General features: G+C 53.7%; 1 protein-coding gene across 4 annotated transcripts, besides 5 other annotated features; it reads left to right on the top strand.

Annotated features, from left to right (window-relative positions):
* Positions 46–565: a silencer, noted in NCBI's record as "silent region_15179". NCBI's record gives its function as "represses an Ori minimal core promoter by ATAC-STARR-seq in GM12878 lymphoblastoid cells {active_cell/tissue: GM12878}" and the evidence as "EXISTENCE:reporter gene assay evidence [ECO:0000049][PMID:35858748]".
* On the top strand, positions 188–14,876 carry TNIP2 (TNFAIP3 interacting protein 2). 4 transcript variants are annotated; one of them, NM_024309.4, is made up of 6 exons: positions 188–510; positions 8,579–8,869; positions 10,989–11,078; positions 11,579–11,827; positions 12,018–12,137; positions 14,004–14,876. In NM_024309.4, the coding sequence occupies exons 1-6, from the start codon at positions 235–237 to the stop codon at positions 14,265–14,267; spliced, it is 1,290 nt and encodes a 429-aa protein (NP_077285.3). In that variant the 5' UTR covers positions 188–234; the 3' UTR covers positions 14,268–14,876. The 4 variants fall into 4 exon arrangements, with proteins under 4 accessions (NP_077285.3, NP_001154999.1, NP_001278945.1 ...); NM_001161527.2 differs by having other exon boundaries at positions 188–575; NM_001292016.2 differs by lacking the exon at positions 11,579–11,827.
* Positions 586–645: a silencer, noted in NCBI's record as "silent region_15178". NCBI's record gives its function as "represses an Ori minimal core promoter by ATAC-STARR-seq in GM12878 lymphoblastoid cells {active_cell/tissue: GM12878}" and the evidence as "EXISTENCE:reporter gene assay evidence [ECO:0000049][PMID:35858748]".
* Positions 8,687–8,736: an enhancer, noted in NCBI's record as "active region_21182". NCBI's record gives its function as "activates an Ori minimal core promoter by ATAC-STARR-seq in GM12878 lymphoblastoid cells {active_cell/tissue: GM12878}" and the evidence as "EXISTENCE:reporter gene assay evidence [ECO:0000049][PMID:35858748]".
* Positions 10,147–10,586: an enhancer, noted in NCBI's record as "active region_21181". NCBI's record gives its function as "activates an Ori minimal core promoter by ATAC-STARR-seq in GM12878 lymphoblastoid cells {active_cell/tissue: GM12878}" and the evidence as "EXISTENCE:reporter gene assay evidence [ECO:0000049][PMID:35858748]".
* Positions 11,182–11,682: an enhancer, noted in NCBI's record as "H3K4me1 hESC enhancer chr4:2746569-2747069 (GRCh37/hg19 assembly coordinates)". NCBI's record gives its function as "activates a minimal SCP1, AML or CMV promoter by ChIP-STARR-seq in naive H9 embryonic stem cells {active_cell/tissue: H9 hESC(naive)}" and the evidence as "EXISTENCE:reporter gene assay evidence [ECO:0000049][PMID:30033119]".
* Positions 14,877–16,445: the final 1,569 nt, after the last annotated feature.

The raw sequence follows: 16,445 nt of genomic DNA, 5'->3' as shown, positions 1-16,445 counted from the left end.
GCGGTGGGAGGGGTGGGGCCGGGCGAGAAGGGGCTGGGCGGGCTGCCGTCGGGCGGGGCTGCGCGGGGAAGGGCGGGGCTGCGCGGGGGGCGGGGCTGCGTGGGGGAGGGCGGGGCCGGGCTGTTGTGGGTGGGCGGGGCGCACCGGGGAAAGTTCCGGGAAGGGCGGCAGCCGGCGGGGCCCGGGCGCGGAAGTTGCCGGCGGCCGCGCGGCCTCCCGGGCGGGCCTACAGCCATGTCCCGGGACCCGGGGTCGGGCGGCTGGGAGGAGGCCCCGCGCGCAGCTGCCGCGCTCTGCACCCTGTACCACGAGGCCGGACAGCGGCTGCGCCGCCTGCAGGACCAGCTCGCTGCCCGCGACGCCCTCATCGCTCGCCTCCGCGCCCGCCTGGCCGCGCTGGAGGGGGACGCCGCGCCGTCCCTAGTGGACGCGCTGCTGGAGCAGGTTGCGCGCTTCCGGGAGCAGCTGCGAAGGCAGGAGGGCGGCGCCGCCGAGGCCCAGATGCGCCAGGTACGAGGGCGGGTACCAGAGGAGCTGCGGGAGCGAGAGTGCGTGTGGCGGCCGCCGGGTCCTGGGTGGGTGAGCGAGCGGGCCCCGGGTCCTGAGGGGTTGAGGGGGTACTGGGTCCTGGGGTTGAGTTGGCCTCGGGTCCTGAGGGGTTGGGGGAGCACCAGGTCCTGGGAGTTGAGGGGGTGCCGGGTCCTGGGGGTGAGGGGGCCCCGGCTCCTGAGGGGTTGGGGGAGCATCAGGTCCTGGGGGTTGAGGGGGTGCCGGGTCCTGGGGTTGAGGGACACTAGGTCCTGGGGGTAAGGGGCCGTCGGGTCCTGGGGGTGATAGGGCAACAGCTTCTGGGGGGTGAGGGGACCCTGGGTCCTAGGGGAGAGAGGGGGACCAGGTCCTGAGTGGGATAAGGGGACACCACGGGCTGAGGTGTGCTGGGTCCTGGGGGGTTTGAGGCGTCACCAGGTGCTGGTGGAGGTGAGGGGGCTCTGGGTCCTGCGGGGTGAGGGTGCAAGGTTCTGAAGGGGATAAGCGAATGCTGGATCCTGGGGGGTTGGGAGGGCACTGGGTCCTGGGGGATGGTGAGGAGGCACTGGGTTCTGAGGAGGGGGGTTGGTGCAGTTCTTGGGTTCTGTGTGTGTGTGGTGTATGTTCAGGTGGGCTCTTAGGGGTATTTTGAGGTTCGTGTGTGGGAACACATTCCGAGGGGGGTGTGTGTATGCTGTGTGTATTCTGTGTGTATTGTGTAGTGTGTATGTTCCGGTTGGTTCTTAGGGGTGTTTTGAGGTGTGTGTGCGGGAGACACATTCTGAGGGGTGTGTATGGTGTGTGTGTGTACGCACACATGTGTGTCTTGGGTCCAAGGTCGTGTACTCATATTGTGTTCTAGAGTCCCTTCCAGCCCTCACCCATGCATGTGTCTTTCACTAGTGGCGCTTCAACTCTATGCTGGGAGCAATGGCAAATGCAGCCCGTGTCTGATAAAGGACACAAATCCTAGGCTGGGTGCAGTGGCTCACGCCTGTAATCCCAGTACTTTCGGAGGCAAGGCGGGCAGATTGCCTGAGCCCAGGAGTTCGAGACAAGGCTGAGCAACATGGTGAAACCCTGTCTACAAAAAGTGCAAAAAATTAGCCGGGCATGGTGGCACGTGCCCGTGCTCCCAGCCACTAGGGAGACTTAGGTGGGAGGATCACTTGAGCCTGGGAGGCAGAGGTTGCAGTGAGCCAAGATCGCACCACTGCACTCCAACCTGGGTGACAAAGTGAGACCTTGTCTGAAAAAATTAAATTAAAAATGGACACAAGGGTCCGGACGCGGTGGCTCATGCCTGTAATCCCAGCACTTTGGGAGGCCAAGGCGGCGGATCACGAGGTCAGGAGATTGAGACCATCCTGGCTAACATGGTGAAAACCCATCTCTACTAAAAATACAAAAAATTAGCTGGGCGTGGTGGCGGGCGCCTGTAGTCCCAGCTACTTGGGAGGCGGAGGCAGGAGAATGGCATGAACCCGGGCGGCGGAGCTTGCAGTGAGCCGAGATTGTGCCACTGCACTCCAGCCTGGGCGACAGAGCGAGACTCCGTCTCAAAAACAAACAAAAAAAGACGCAAATCCTGACTTTCTTCTCTTTGTCCTTGTCTATGATGTTTATGTCTGTTTTTTGATGATAAACTATAACACCACAACAGCAGTATAAGTAACAGTTTTTTTGTGCAATAGTATTTGCAAGCATCTGAAACATTCGGGTGAGCTCTGGCATCTATTATTCCATTTGATTCATGGCTATTATCCTAGTTTGCCCAGGAAAGAAACTAAGCCTGCAAAGGCAGTAGTCTGCGAAAGATAGTTTTTGTCTCCAGGGTTGGCCCCACAGCCTGATTTTAGAGAGAAAAAGAAACATGCCCTTTTTAAAAAAGAAAAAAAATTATAAAACAATTTTGAATATCTGAAAAATAAAGAATAAAATAGCCGCTGTAGTCCCACAGTGCAGGGATGACTAGTGTTAATCTCTTGGCATGCCTTCTTCCTGTTTTTCCTCTGTGTATAAGGTGTGTGTACACTTGGCATGGTTGTTTTCATGCTGTGTATACAGTTGTACTTAATATTAGGTTGTCAGTATCTACATCATTTAAAATACTTTCAGCAGCCAGTGTCTCCCCTACTCCACTCTCTCCCTCTTTCTGGAAGGTACATCCTGACTCACTAGAGCAGAAGGGAAGTTTAGAGGTCACCTGGTCTGCACCAACAGGTTTTAGAGTTGTGGATGCCAGGAGCCACAGATGAGTACAGACCAAGGACCCGGAAGGACACTCCGAAGTCATCTCCAGAATGTTGGTGGGACAGGATGCAGGGACCTCACAACCAGAGCAGTATACTTGCAGTCGGTGGCCATTGGTGTTCCGCTCACATGTGTTCCCTGGTGTCCTGTGTATCTGGCCACTCACCAAGCAGCTTATTGCAGCTTCCTGGTAGCCTCAGATAGAATTAGTTCTGTGTTCCCAGTATTACTGGCCCTGGTCCTGTCTTCCCAACATGTAAGCATGTAGGTTTTGTTTTGGGATTTTTATTTTTTTATTTTTTTGAGACAGGGTCTCACTCTGTTACCCAGGCTGGAGTGCAGTGGCACAAACATGGCTCACTGTGGCCTCAACCTCCTGGGCTTACGTGATCCTCCTGCCTCAGCCTCCCATATAGCTGGGACCACAGGAGTGTGCCATCACACCTGGCTAATTTTATTTTTTTTTTGTAGAGACGGGATCTTGCTGTGTCGCCCAGGCTGGTCTAGAACTCCTTTCTTCAAGTGATCCTCCTGCCTTGGCCTCCCAAAGTGCTAGGATTACAGGCATGAGCCACCACGCCCAGCATGGGGGGATTTTTAATTATTTAAGGAACATTTTAATGATTTAGTTTTGTTTGTTTGTTTTTTTATTTTTATTTTTATTTTTTTAGAGACAGGGTCTTGGTCTGTGACACTGCCACCTAGGCTGGAATGCCTTGGGGCCATCATAGCTCACTGTAACCTTGAACTCCTGGGCTCAACCAGCCCTCCCATCACAGCCTCCCGAGTGTCTAGGACTATAGGCGAAGAGCCTACCACAAGGACTATGAGCCACCACACCTGGCTAACTTCTTAAGTTTTTGTAGAGAAGGGGTCGCATGATGTTGCCCAAGCTGGTCTCAAACTCCTGGCCTCCAGGGATCCTCCTGTCTCGGCCTCTCAAAGTGCTGGTATTACAGGCGTGAGCCACTGTGCTGGCCTTATCTGGTATTTTATGCAATTACATATTTATTGCTCATCCCAACGTTCAATCTGAGGTCGGTCATGGAACCTGTGGAAGAATGGAGAGGTTTGTCACCTCCTGCAGGCCCTGGGTTCACTGAGGTGGCAGTGCAGAGTTAAAGACACAGCAGGAAGCAAGCCGTTGCTAGGTTGCTCTCATCTATGAGAGCCCGTTAGGAGCAGGAACCCTGGACCAGTAGGGACTGAGGGCTCCCAGAGAGAGTGCTGAGGCTCAGAATGTGGAGGAGCTGACCAGTGCGTCTGTGATCAAGCTGCGGTCAGTGTGTGATGGGGCAAGATCAGGCCAGAGAATTGTGGTCCTCAGTGCAGCCACAGCTGGACTTGAGACCTTACCTCATCTGTAACACAAGGCCTGAGTGGATAACTTTACAAAGCCCCTCCAGTTAATACTTTCTGGAATAATGGCACCAATTCATTGTGCAACCTGGTCCTGCCCAACCCCATCCTGTCACCATTCTCGGGACCAGCTTCATAGGCTTTGCCTGGTCCTGGCGTATCAGCCCCCTTTCCCTTCCGGCTTAGCTTAGCTTTGCTTTGCTTGTTTTCTTGGCTCTTTCTTTTCTTTTCTCTTCTCTTCTTTTCTTTCTTTCCTTCCTTGTTCCTTTTTTTTTTTTTTTAAACTGAGTCTTGCTCTGTCGCCAGGCTGGAGTGCAGTGGCGGGATCTTGGCTCAGTGCAACCTCCACCTCCCGGGTTCAAGCGATTCTCCTGCCTCAGCCTCCTGGGTAGCTGGGACTACAGGCGCCCACCAGCACGCCTGGCTAATTTTTTGTATCTTTAGTAGAGGCGGGGTTTCACCATGTTGGCCAGGCTGGTCTTGAACTCCTGACCTCGTGATCCACCCACCTCAGCCTCCCAAAGTGCTGGGATTGCAGGCATGAGCCACCGCCCCGGGCCACCTTCCTTGTTCCTTTCTTTCTTCCTTTCTCCTCCCCTCCCCTCCCCTCTTTTTGACAGGGTCACTCTGTTGCCCAGGCTGGAGTGCAGTAGCATGATCATAGCTCACTGCAGCCTTGACCTCCTGGGCTTAAGTGATCCTCCTGTCTCAGCCTCCCGAGTAGCTGGGACTACAAACGCCCACCACCATGCCTGGCTAATGTTTTTTGTATTTTTTGTAGAGACAAGGTCTCGCCATGTTGCCCAGGCTAGTCCCAACCCTTGGGCTCAAGTGATCCTCCCACCTCGGCCTCCCAAAGTGCTGGGATTACAGGCTTTGGGAGAATACACTTCTGTTGTTTAAGACACCAAGTTTGTGATACTTTGTTGCCGCAGCGCTAAAAGCCAAGAGGCCACTGTGCCTCTTAAGGCCAATCCACAAGACTATTAATAGAGCTGTTTACACTTTTGTGTTCTGAGCGTGGAGCTATGGAGTTGTGGGTCCCGGCGACAGGCTTTCCTGAGAGATGTCAGCCCAGTTGCTGACTAGTCTGTGTGTTGTGCCTGTGTGTGTAGACCCACAACTCCAGCTCGTACCTTGTTTTCTGACCACAGTGGTCGAGGTGCTGTTGTGTCCTAAGAACTGTTACTAACTGGACAAGGCACTCAGACAGATAAACCAGCACAAAGCTCTGCAACTTCAGAGCCAGTGACAAATGCCAGAAGCCCGGGGGCTGGAGGGGTCCTGGGGCCCTCATGCTGCCGAGGGGAGGATGAGTGGGGCAGCCCTTTGCAGGGCTGGCCTGCCCCCACGGGTTGAGCGTAGAGCCTGCGTCCTGATCTGTCTCTGTATGGCCCAGTCTTATTCCCATTTACTGGGCATCTGTGTGGGGCTGGGCTCAGTGTTGAGTACTAGGGTGTGGAGGCAAGAGAGAGCCACGCCCTCAGGATCTACGAGCTGTGGACATGCTGCCCTCCTGTTTGTGGAGCTGTTTGTTTCTCCTACTGTCAGCATTTGACCAACGCAGGAAGGAGGCTCCGAAATCAGATTTTACCTGGGCACGGTGACCCCTGCTGAGGCAGGAGGAGGATTGCTTGAGGCCAGGAGTTCAAGACCAGCCTAGGCAACATAGCCACACCCTGTCTTTATCAAAAAAAAAAAAAACCAGAAGTCAGGTTTTGCTCAAAGTCCTTTATCCCTGAAGAGGGTCTCACTGTCACCCAGGCTAGAGTGCAGTGGCACCGTCACAGCACACTGCAGCCTTGACCTCGAGCCCATGGTCCCAGCTATTTGGGAGGTTGAGACGGGAGGAACACTTGGACCCAGGAGTTCAAGGCTTCGGTGAGCTGTGATTATACCACTGTATTGCAGCCTCGGTGTCAGGGCGAGACCCTGTCTCTAAAATAATAAAATAATAATAATAATAATAATAATAATAATAATAATCAGGGTTCTCGCAGTAATAGGGCTTAGTATTTTGTTCCATTGTGATGAGAACATTCTAGGTTCCCGGTCTCTGTCCCTTCTTACCTCAAGTACTAGACACAGAGGCTGGACCCTTCTCCCGCCACTTCTGGGGGAAGCTTGGGCTCCTCCGTGACTTTTCTGAAACTGTTTCTTCACTTGTGGGATGGACTAGTTGAGCCTGCTTCACCTCCTTCATGTAATGTACTGTTTATTTTGGAGGATTCTTTGAAAACGGAAAAGTACAAATTTAAGGCCAGATATTAAAAAATTGTCAGGTCAGATGTGGTGGCTCGTGCCTATAATCCCAGCACTTTGGGAGGCTGAGGCAGGCGGATCACTCAAGTCCAGGACCAGACTGGGCAAAGTGGTGAAACCTTGTCTCTGCAAAAAATACAGAAATTAGCCAGGTACGGTGGCATGCACTTGTAATCCAACTACTTAGGGTGCTGAGGCAAGAGGATCACTTGAGTCTGGGAGGTGGAGGCTACAGTGAACCATGGTGGCACCACTGTACTCCAGCCTGGGTGACAGGGCGAGACCCTATCTCAAAATAAAATTGTCATTTTAAGAACCTTTTTAAATTCTTTAAGAAGTAATTGGGGTTGGGTGTGTTAATTTCCTAGAGCTGCTGTAACAAAGTAACACAAACTGGGGGGCTTCAAGCAACAGAAATTTAATCTTTCACAGTTCTAGAGGCCAGAAGCCAGAAACCAAGGCATCGGCTCTCTCTCAAGGTTCTAGGGAAGGACCCTTCCTCGCCTCTTCAGCTTCCTGTGGGGGCCACCAATCCTTGGTGTTCCTTGGCCTTTATCCACAAGACAAGACGTCACTCCTATCTTTGTTGTCACGTGGTCGTCTTCTCTCTGTGTGTCTGTCCAGACTTCTGTCTGCTTACAAGGACACCAGTCCCGTCCTAATCCATTTTGTCCCCACCTTAACTAATTACATCTGCAAAGACCCTATCTCTAAGTAAGGTTTCATTCCCAGATACCGGGGAATGGGAGGTTTGGTTGTGGACATCTTTTTGGGGTTACCCACCACAGTGGAGTTTCTACCTATCCCATCAAAAAAGTGCTTGGAATTGCCACTTTGATAATTTGATGATAACTGGGTGTGGTGGCTTGAGCCTGTAGTCCCAGCTATTCAGGAGGCTGAGGTGGGAGGATTTGCTTGAGCCTAGGAGTTTAAGACCAGCTTGGGCTATATATAGCGAAACCCTCATCTCAAAAAAACATTTTGATGATATGAAATCTAAAATTATGAACTTGCTTGTGAAAATAGAATTTGGCAGGGCGTGGTGGCTCACACCTGTCATCCCAGCACTTTGGGAAGCCAAGGCGGGTGGATCTCTTGAGCCCAGGAGTTCAAGACCAGCCTGAGCATCACAGCAAAACCCTGTCTCTACAAAATACAAAAAAGTTAACCAGGCACGGTGGCACGTGCCTGTAGTCCCAGCTACTCAGGTTAGGATGGAGAATCGCTTGGGCCTGGGGAGGTCGAGGCTGCAGTGAGCCATGATTGTGCCACTGCACTCTAGCCTGGGTGACAGTGAGACCCTGCCTCAAAAAAAAAAAAAAAAAAATTGCTGGGCGCAGTGGCTCACGCCTATAATCCCAGTACTTTGGGAGGCCAAGGCTGGCGGATCATCTAAGGTCAGGAATTCGAGATTAGCCTGGCCAACATGGTGAAACCCCGTCTCTACTAAAAATATAAAAATTGGGCCAGGCGTGGTGGCTCACGCCTGTAATCCCAGCACTTTGGGAGGCTGAGGTGGGCGGATGCCGAGGTAGGCGGATCATGAGGTCAGGAGATCGAGACCATCCTGGCTAACATGGTGAAACCCCATCTCTACTAAAAATACAAAAAATTAGCTGGGCGTGGTGGCGTGTGCCTGTAGTCCCAGCTACTCGGAAGGCTGAGGCAGGAGAATGGTGTGAACCTCTGAGGCGGAGCTTGCAGTGAGCTGAGATCGCTCCACTGCACTCGAGCCTGAGCGACAGAGCGAGACTCCGTCTCAAAAAAAAAAAAAATTCTTTTAGCTGGGCTTGGTGGTGGGCTCTATAATCCCAGCTACTGAGGAGGCTGAGGTGGGAGAATCGCTTGAACCTGGGAGGTGGAGGTTGCAGCGAGCCAAGATTGTGCCATTGCACTCCAGCCTGGGCAACAGAGTGAAACTCTGTCTCAAAAAAAAAAAAAATTTGAGATGAAGTTTCAGAACAGAACATTGTAGGCTGAAAAACTCCAGAGTTAATAGTTCAAATGCCCAACTTCTGAGTGAGTAATTGTTAGTTCAAACGCCCAACTTCTGAGTGAGTATGTTTGTGTCTGGTGATGGGGCATCCACGCCAGGTCTTCTTTTGCTTTCTGAACATTTGCTCTTGACACTGCTTCTTTTAATTCAGTAAACTGTGCTTTTAAATCTTCCACTTAGGAAATTGAGAGGCTGACTGAGCGACTAGAAGAAAAAGAGAGGGAGATGCAGCAGCTGCTGAGCCAGCCCCAACACGAGCGAGAGAAGGAAGTCGTCCTGCTACGGAGGAGCATGGCAGAAGGGGAGCGCGCCCGGGCCGCCAGTGACGTCCTGTGCCGCTCCTTGGCCAACGAGACCCATCAGCTGCGGAGGACGCTGACCGCCACCGCCCACATGTGTCAGCATCTGGCCAAGTGTCTGGATGAACGACAGCATGCACAAAGGAATGTGGGGGAGAGAAGTCCTGACCAGGTAGGCCACAGTGTAAGCAGAGTGTGGGGAAGACCTCTGTGTGCTGGGAGCATCGCCTACAGGCCCCTGATCACAGAGGTGGGGGGGCGCCCCAGAACCCACTTCTGTTCTCAGTAACGAGAGTCAGCTGACGGGGCAAAGCTCACTCATCCAAGGGTTTCTTTTAAAATGATGGAACATGCAAAATGTAATAGGAAAGCAGGCAGCCACCTCACTGCCCAGCACCAGGCCTGTGGCCGACCCCGCTCCCAGGTGGGAGATGGCACTTGGCTTTCATCTGCCTCAGCTGAGGATGAGGAGGAGGAGCTGAGCCTGGCAGAGCTGCCTGGAGGAAGTGTAGTCACATCCTCCATCCGAGGAAACTGAAGCAGAGCCAGGTGGTACTGCTGGGGATGGGGAGTGCCTCCAGTTCCACACCCCAAACTCCTGGAAGGACCGTGAGTGCCCGCCTTCTTCAGGCTCAGTGTGTCTGAGTGCATGCAGGCACAGCTGGAACCGCCATCTCCAAAGCTGGCTTTAGGCATGTCCTTGCCAGCAGCACGGCCTCCCGCAAGCTTGGAGACCTGGCTCAGGGCCACAGCCTCCTCATCATCAAAGCAAGGGCCGGGGGCAGCGGCACCAAGTGACAGTGAGGGCCAAAGAAGGGTTCGCTGGACCTCCAGGATAGGCTGGATCTGGGCTGTAGCTCTCTGTGGGGTCTAGTGGGAGAGAGAAGGACCGTGGGAGTTTCAGCATCAGGAGAAACCAGGGGGCTCCTAGGCAGAAAAGTAGGGGAGCAGTGGCCCAAGGCATCTGTGTGCCAGGCACCTTCCATCTTGCTGGTGCTTGTGGTGGTCTGTGTGTGGCAGGCAGGGGAATGGAGGCACTCCGTGCACATCTCACCTAGGCTGAGACCCCATCTCACTCGCACTGCCGGGCACAGGGCCTCTCGCTCGGGTCCTTTCTAGGCAGTTCTCTGAGGCAGCACCAAGGTTCATGCAGAAACACACGCGCTGGGATGTTCTGTGGCAGACAGTACATCCCGCACCCATCAGCAGCTTCACCGAGGCGCCCACTGGGGAGAAGGTTGGTCTGAGAACTGCCCACCTCAGCTGGGTGGATTCCAGGCGGGGAACCTCAGAGAGGACACAGCTGCATTCAGAAACCAGAGGAAAAGTGCCGTCTGGGCGGAGGCAGGGTGTTCTGGTCTGATTTTGAGTCACTGTGTCATTTCCCTCTGGGGATTTGAAAGGAGCCACACACAGTGTTGAGCCTGAGGCGGGGGTGGGGCCAGTGGCAGGGTAGGCCCTCATCACAGTCTCTAAATAAGTGTCACTTCTCAGCCCTGAACTCAGCTGAGTCACCCGGGGCTTCCCGGTGTAGGCTGTGTTAGGACGTGCACTTCCTTTGTCATTTGAGGGGAATTCTCAAAAATTATGTCACTGAGATACAGTCAGAATTGTAGGGTACACACGAGTTTCAGGAGACTTTTCATTCAGCTCTGTAGTTGTTAGTGGGGGTTGGTTTGGGTTGTGGCTTCGGTGACTCCTGACCCTGCGTGGGGCAGAGGTTAGATTCCTGTGTCCAGAATCACCTGGTTGAACCCGATTGTCTGCAGACAGGACAGTGTCATGGGCTCCAAAGGAGGTAAGCAGGGTGCATGGCCAGGCCCACCCTGGGCAGCTGGGGGCCCCCTCACTGGAGATCCTCTGGTTTACAATGGGATTCAGCTTCCTGCCTTCCCTGCTGTCTGTGATAATGGCAAATCTCTGGCAATGAGAAGACTTTATCATGTCTGGTGTGCCAATCCCTGCAGACATTATGGCTTTAGAATATTTACATTCCAAATATTTAAAAGACAAACAGCTCAAACTGGTAGGTGGGACGGGATAAGGACAGTGTGAAAGGTGGTGTGGCCTGAAGACCTCCCATCCGGGCTCTGGCCTGGGCCAGGTGGGGTGGGCCTGGGCAGGGAGAAGGTGGTCCCTTGTCCCTGCTTTGCTTCTCTACCAAATGAATGATCACTACCCGCTGCACTGGGGGACGCAGTGATAATCTGTGGCCTCAGCCTCTGGGTCTAGCTTTCTCCCCTCTTGCTGTATGTGACAGAGTGTCTTCTCTCTGTCCCTTCCTCATGCAGTCGGAACACACAGATGGGCACACCTCTGTCCAGAGTGTTATTGAGAAGTTGCAGGAAGAAAATCGACTGTTAAAACAGAAGGTGACTCACGTGAGTGTCTTTCACATTTCGTTTGAGAAGAACACATGGCTTACAAACTGTAAGTGAGGGTTCTTTCCTTGGCTGATGCCCAGAGTCGCCCCCCGCCCTCTGGCCACTAGGACTTGATACACACAGTCCCTAGAGACTGGACTTTTTTGCTTAAAACGACGTACGGGACATGTCCTGTCCATCTCCATCCCCCTAAAATTAATCCACAAGTCAGTAAAGGAGATGCAAGAGTTAGCAGCAGGAGGTCCATTTTCTAAGACAGCAAAGCTGCACCGAGTCCACCTCCGTTCATGCTGCTTGCGTACGGGTGTCATCGTGCTGCCTCAGGATTCTCTAGCGGGCCTAGTGTCTGCTCTCTACAGAACAGGGAGGGGCAGCTTCCATTTAAGAGGAAACTCTCACTCAGCGAATCACTGCTAATACATAATTCACACTGGGTGCTGGCTTGAGCAGCTTTGTCAGCTGCCTTCACCGTGAGCTTTCCGGCTCCACCTCTTCAGGTTGAAGACCTCAATGCCAAGTGGCAGCGCTACAACGCCAGCAGGGACGAATACGTGAGGGGGCTCCATGCGCAGCTCAGGGGGCTGCAGATCCCCCACGAGCCCGAGCTGATGAGGAAGGAGATCTCCCGGCTCAACAGACAGTTGGAAGAGAAAATAAATGACTGTGCCGAAGTGAAGCAGGAGCTGGCGGCCTCCAGGACGGCCCGGGATGCTGCGTTGGAGCGGGTGCAGATGCTGGAACAGCAGGTGTCTGTCCCTCGGGCTCCGGACGGCACTGACCAGATGTCTGCTGGCCGGTGGTGGCCGAAATCATGGGACAGGCTGGGCTGAAGGCTTGGTGGCACTGAGTGGGCAGTGGTCACTGTGGGGGTGGGAGAAGCCTGGTGGGGCGCTTCCTCCTTCCTTGAGCAGAAATGTGTGTCTCGCCTCTCTTCAGATTCTCGCTTACAAGGATGACTTCATGTCAGAAAGGGCCGATCGGGAACGGGCTCAAAGTAGGATTCAAGAACTGGAGGAAAAGGTCGCCTCTTTGCTGCACCAGGTGTCCTGGAGACAGGTAGAGTATGAGGGCGTTTTTCTTCCTGCTTAGGTTTAGTGTTTTTGTTTCTCTTCTCATGAGATTAGAGCCTTTCTGTGTCTGCCAAGGCCCTGATTTGCTGGTGATGAGGGTTGTGGCGAGCCCCTCCCTGCTGTGGGGAGAGCCACCTGGCCTGGTACCTGGGCGTGGTCATGGAAAGCCTCCCTGTTATACTGTTTAGTTATGGAGGAGGCTGGCATGGCGGCCTGTCTTAGCAGAGGTGGCTGTCCTCAGGGCCCGTCCGTCACTGTCATGCAGTCAGAGAGCATATCTCGGGCCTCAAAGTGTGAGCTCCCTACGTGTCCTGACCTGTCTGTGAGACGGGAACCCCGCTTACCTTGTCATGTAGATGTGATGGCCCTGGGTGTCCAGTAACATCCCCAGCTCAGCCTGGCACGTGGAGCTGGGCCTTGCAGGGCAGGGGCCCCTCACCCCACCCCTGGGCTCAGTGCTTTTCCTACCATGGGGTGCCTTGAGGGAGGCCTGGCATGAATGGGAACCGATGAAGTTCCTCAGTGTGTGACCCATGGCCTCTTCCTTCTCCTCACTGACTTGTGCTCTGCAAAAATCCAGGAGAAGTTTATGTAGCTCCTCATCAAGTACCTAACACACTTTTGGCCCTGGGAATAGCCTGGGCCCCACTCAAAGAGCTTCCTCTCCTGGCACAGACTGAACAGTAGTGATGCCTCTTGAGAATCGATGCGTCCCGGGCTGGAGCTAGGACGTCAGCCGTGTTTCAGGGTGTGAACAGGGACCCTGGGGCTGTGAGGCCACCCCCCACTGCCCTGTTCCGAGCAGCCACTGGGCCTCAGTGGTTTCTGCTTCTCCTCCGCATGAAGGGCACGGGAGAGTCATGGTGGACTATGGGACTAACCCTGGGACTAAGTCTGCAGCAGAGGGCTGGACAGGTTTTTCTGGCCTTCATGAATTCAAGGAAGCATGTGATTTGGATTGAAGGAGCACTATTGGTACAATCGTGAGGATGGTCTCAGGCCGCCTCTTGAAGATTTTGGACCAGATGAACTGGTTCCAGACTTGCAGGCCCAGATTCTTACCCCCGGGGGTAAAGTTCCTGGTGGGGCCTGCAGACCTTGTACTAAGTGGCCTCTGGTTCCCTTTCAACAGTAGCCTGTGGCCCCTCGAGGGTTGCTCAGTCCCTAGATGGCACAGCCAGGGACAGTGGTGCTGAAGGCATGGGTGATAAGCTGTAGTCCCACTGGGGAAAGTCCACATTCAGACAGGAAGTGGAAGCACCAAGGCCTGCTGGAATGAAGTTCCCAGGCAAGCAGTGAGGGCCACAGGCTGCAGTGCTTCAGGACGGATGTTTGGAGAACATGTGCCAGATCATGCCAGGTGGTTGGTGGGGCCAAGCCAGGGACACCTCTTGCTGCTACTGAAGGACCCCCTGAGCCCCAGAGTGCTCAGCACCCCCAGGCCCCACAGAGGAGGTGCAGAGTAGGGTTGGTACTCAGTTTGCCCAGCTCCCCACCAGAGGCTCTGCCACCTCCACTCTGTGGTGGCCTGTGGGCCACGTCATCAGGGCCACCTTCTCAGTCAGGTCTCCTGGGGCCGATAGGTCCAACTGAACAGGACTTCCACCAAGGGGCTGGGGGGTGGACCACGCCAGGGCCTACTTCTTCATGAGCACATGACGGAGCGTGTGTGTGATCCTCAGTCATTCACTGAGCGCCCCCTTGTCTGGGCTCTGGGGCGCAGCAGGAAGCAAAGTGAGGGGCTGAAGTTCCGCTCAGGGATAGGTGAAGTGCCTCTGGTTGCTGGAACCTGAGACCTGGCTTTGTGACCGTCAGCACAGCCCACGTATATACACCCTTGCCTTTTCTCCAGGATTCTCGAGAGCCAGACGCCGGCCGGATTCACGCTGGGAGCAAAACTGCCAAGTATTTGGCCGCCGACGCATTAGAGCTTATGGTGCCTGGTGGCTGGAGGCCTGGGACTGGGTCCCAGCAGCCAGAACCCCCTGCAGAGGGCGGGCATCCTGGCGCGGCCCAGAGAGGCCAGGGGGACCTTCAGTGCCCTCACTGCCTGCAGTGCTTCAGTGACGAGCAAGGGGAAGAGCTCCTCAGGCATGTGGCTGAGTGCTGCCAGTGACCGAGACTCACCCGTGCCCTTGCGGCCTCCTGGCCCGGTGCAGCTGCCCTCAGGGACAGGGTGGGTGCTCTCAGATGCCATGGGTTGAGCTCTACTGAGAGCCAAGGCCCCTAGAATAGTTGCGGGGCACTCTGATCGTTCACTTTGGTCCCTTTGGCTATGGAACAGGCTGGGTCACAGGGAACTGCCAGTGAGGCTGGAGGCTGGAGGTGGAGATGGGGTCAGGAACATCTGGCAGAGGGAGGTCCCAGTCTGTGTCTCCATCAGGCTTAAGCCAGAGCTATCTGGTGCTGGTGTGCCAGCCCCTCCCCCAGCCTGCCTAGAAAGGGGTGGCTGCCTGAGGGAGTCACTTGTATGGTCCCCAGGGTGGGAGCCCCATCCTGTTCTATGGAATAAAGCGTCGCCTCTCTGCCTCGAACCAGTCAAATGGAGTATTGCGGCTGCACGTCACACTAGGGTGGCCACCCCCGCCATTGCGAGCCACATGTCTGCACTGAGAAACTGCATTTCAGTAGCATTTGTCATCCAGCCGGAAGTTAAAGCACACTTACTTTATTCACCTATTTTTATAATAAACGTTCTTGCTGCTGTGACTGCTCTGAGAATTTGTGTTGGAAGCTGGGGTGCAGGGACTGAACAGTATTTACAGCAGCTGGCATGGGAAAACACTCCTGCTGTTGCCTTCTGCCAGGGCACCAAGACAAGGGGGTCAGTGGGAGCCTGGCTGTATTAGGGTTCTCTAGAGGGACAGAACTAATGGAACAGATAGATATATAAAGGGGAGTGTGTCAAGTATTAACTCACACGATCACAAGTTCCCACAATAGGCCGTCTGCAGGCTGAGGAACAAGGAGAGCCAGTCCCGAGTTCCGAAACTGAAGAACTTGGGAGTCCTATGTTCAAGGGCAGGAAGCATCCAGCACGGAGCAAGATGTAGGCTGGGAGGCCAGGCCAGTCTCTCTTTTCACGTTTTTCTGCCTGCTTTATTCTGGCCACGCTGGCAGCTGATTAGATGGTGCCCACCCCGATTGAGGGTGGATCTGCCTTCCCCAGCCCACTGACTCAAATGTTAATCTCCTTGGCAACACCCTCACAGACACACCCAGATCAATACTTCCTATCCTTCAATCAAGTTGACACTCAGTATTAACCATCATGAGTCCACCCCTTGTCTACTTGAACCCATACATAGTCCTGAGATAATAATCTTCAAATAAAGACAAAAATAAAGTCACAATTATGCCTAACATAATACAACTATCCTTCATACAACCGGAAACGCACCAGTCCCCAACCCAAATAATACTATTACATAAAGGTAACAATACTTTACTTTTTGTTTTTTGAAACGGAGTTTCTTGTTCCCCAGGCTGGAGTGCAGTGGTGTGATCTCGGCTCAGCTCACTGCTACCTCCGCCTCCCAGGTTCAAGTGATTCTCCCACCTCAGGCTCCCGATTAGCTAGGATTACAGGCGCCTGCCACCACGCCCGGCTAATTTTTGTATTTTTAGTAGAGAAGGGGTTTCGCCACGTTGGCCTGGCTGGTTTCGAACTCCTGACGTCAGGTGATCAGCCTGCCTCTGCCTCCCAGCGTGCTGGGATTACAGGCATGAGCCACCACACCCGGCCAAGGTGACTGACGGTACTTAAATGCTGATGTGAAGTCAATAAATCTTATGTCACACGATAAAGGAGAAAGGAAATGAAGAGATTTTCTTAGTACTAGCGTATACATGCACAAACGTTTTTTATCAAAAGGAGGAAATACTCACAGCAATTACAGTCCTGGTTCCTGCAGCTGGTCATGTGGTCATAGCCGTTATTGATGCCTACCTTCTTCTACTACCCATTCTGTATTCCCTTTGCCTTCAGCAAGCACCTCAGCAGATGGTGGTTTTTTTCCTGGTGGAGTGACCCGAACCTTCATTCCTGATTTGTAGTCCTGCCTGGATTGGGCTGTTGTAGTTTCCCATTGACCTTAATCACAGGGCATTAGATAATACTAAGAGATGTCCTAATGGATCTCCTGTATTCCATGCATACTCTTCCTTACCTCTGTTGTGGAGTAAGAGACTAATTCCATCTTTTTTTTTTTTTTGAGATGGAGTGTCGCTCTGTCGCCCAGGCTGGAGTGCAGTGGTGCAATCTCGGCTCTCTGCAGGCTCCGCCTCACGGGTT

Source organism: Homo sapiens, chromosome 4 (assembly GCF_000001405.40).
Source record: "Homo sapiens chromosome 4, GRCh38.p14 Primary Assembly".
NCBI classification, from domain to species: domain Eukaryota; kingdom Metazoa; phylum Chordata; class Mammalia; order Primates; family Hominidae; genus Homo; species Homo sapiens.
This window is presented reverse-complemented; position numbering and strand designations above follow the sequence as displayed.

Bases quoted from the DNA above. Each gene is read 5' to 3' on its own strand.
- TNIP2 (NM_024309.4), top strand. From the start codon at position 235: ATGTCCCGGGACCCGGGGTCGGGCGGCTGGGAGGAGGCCCCGCGCGCA. The intron at 11,079-11,578 runs GTGAGTGTCTTT...CCACCTCTTCAG, and splicing joins TAAAACAGAAGGTGACTCAC to GTTGAAGACCTCAATGCCAA. The intron at 11,828-12,017 runs GTGTCTGTCCCT...GCCTCTCTTCAG, and splicing joins TGCAGATGCTGGAACAGCAG to ATTCTCGCTTACAAGGATGA.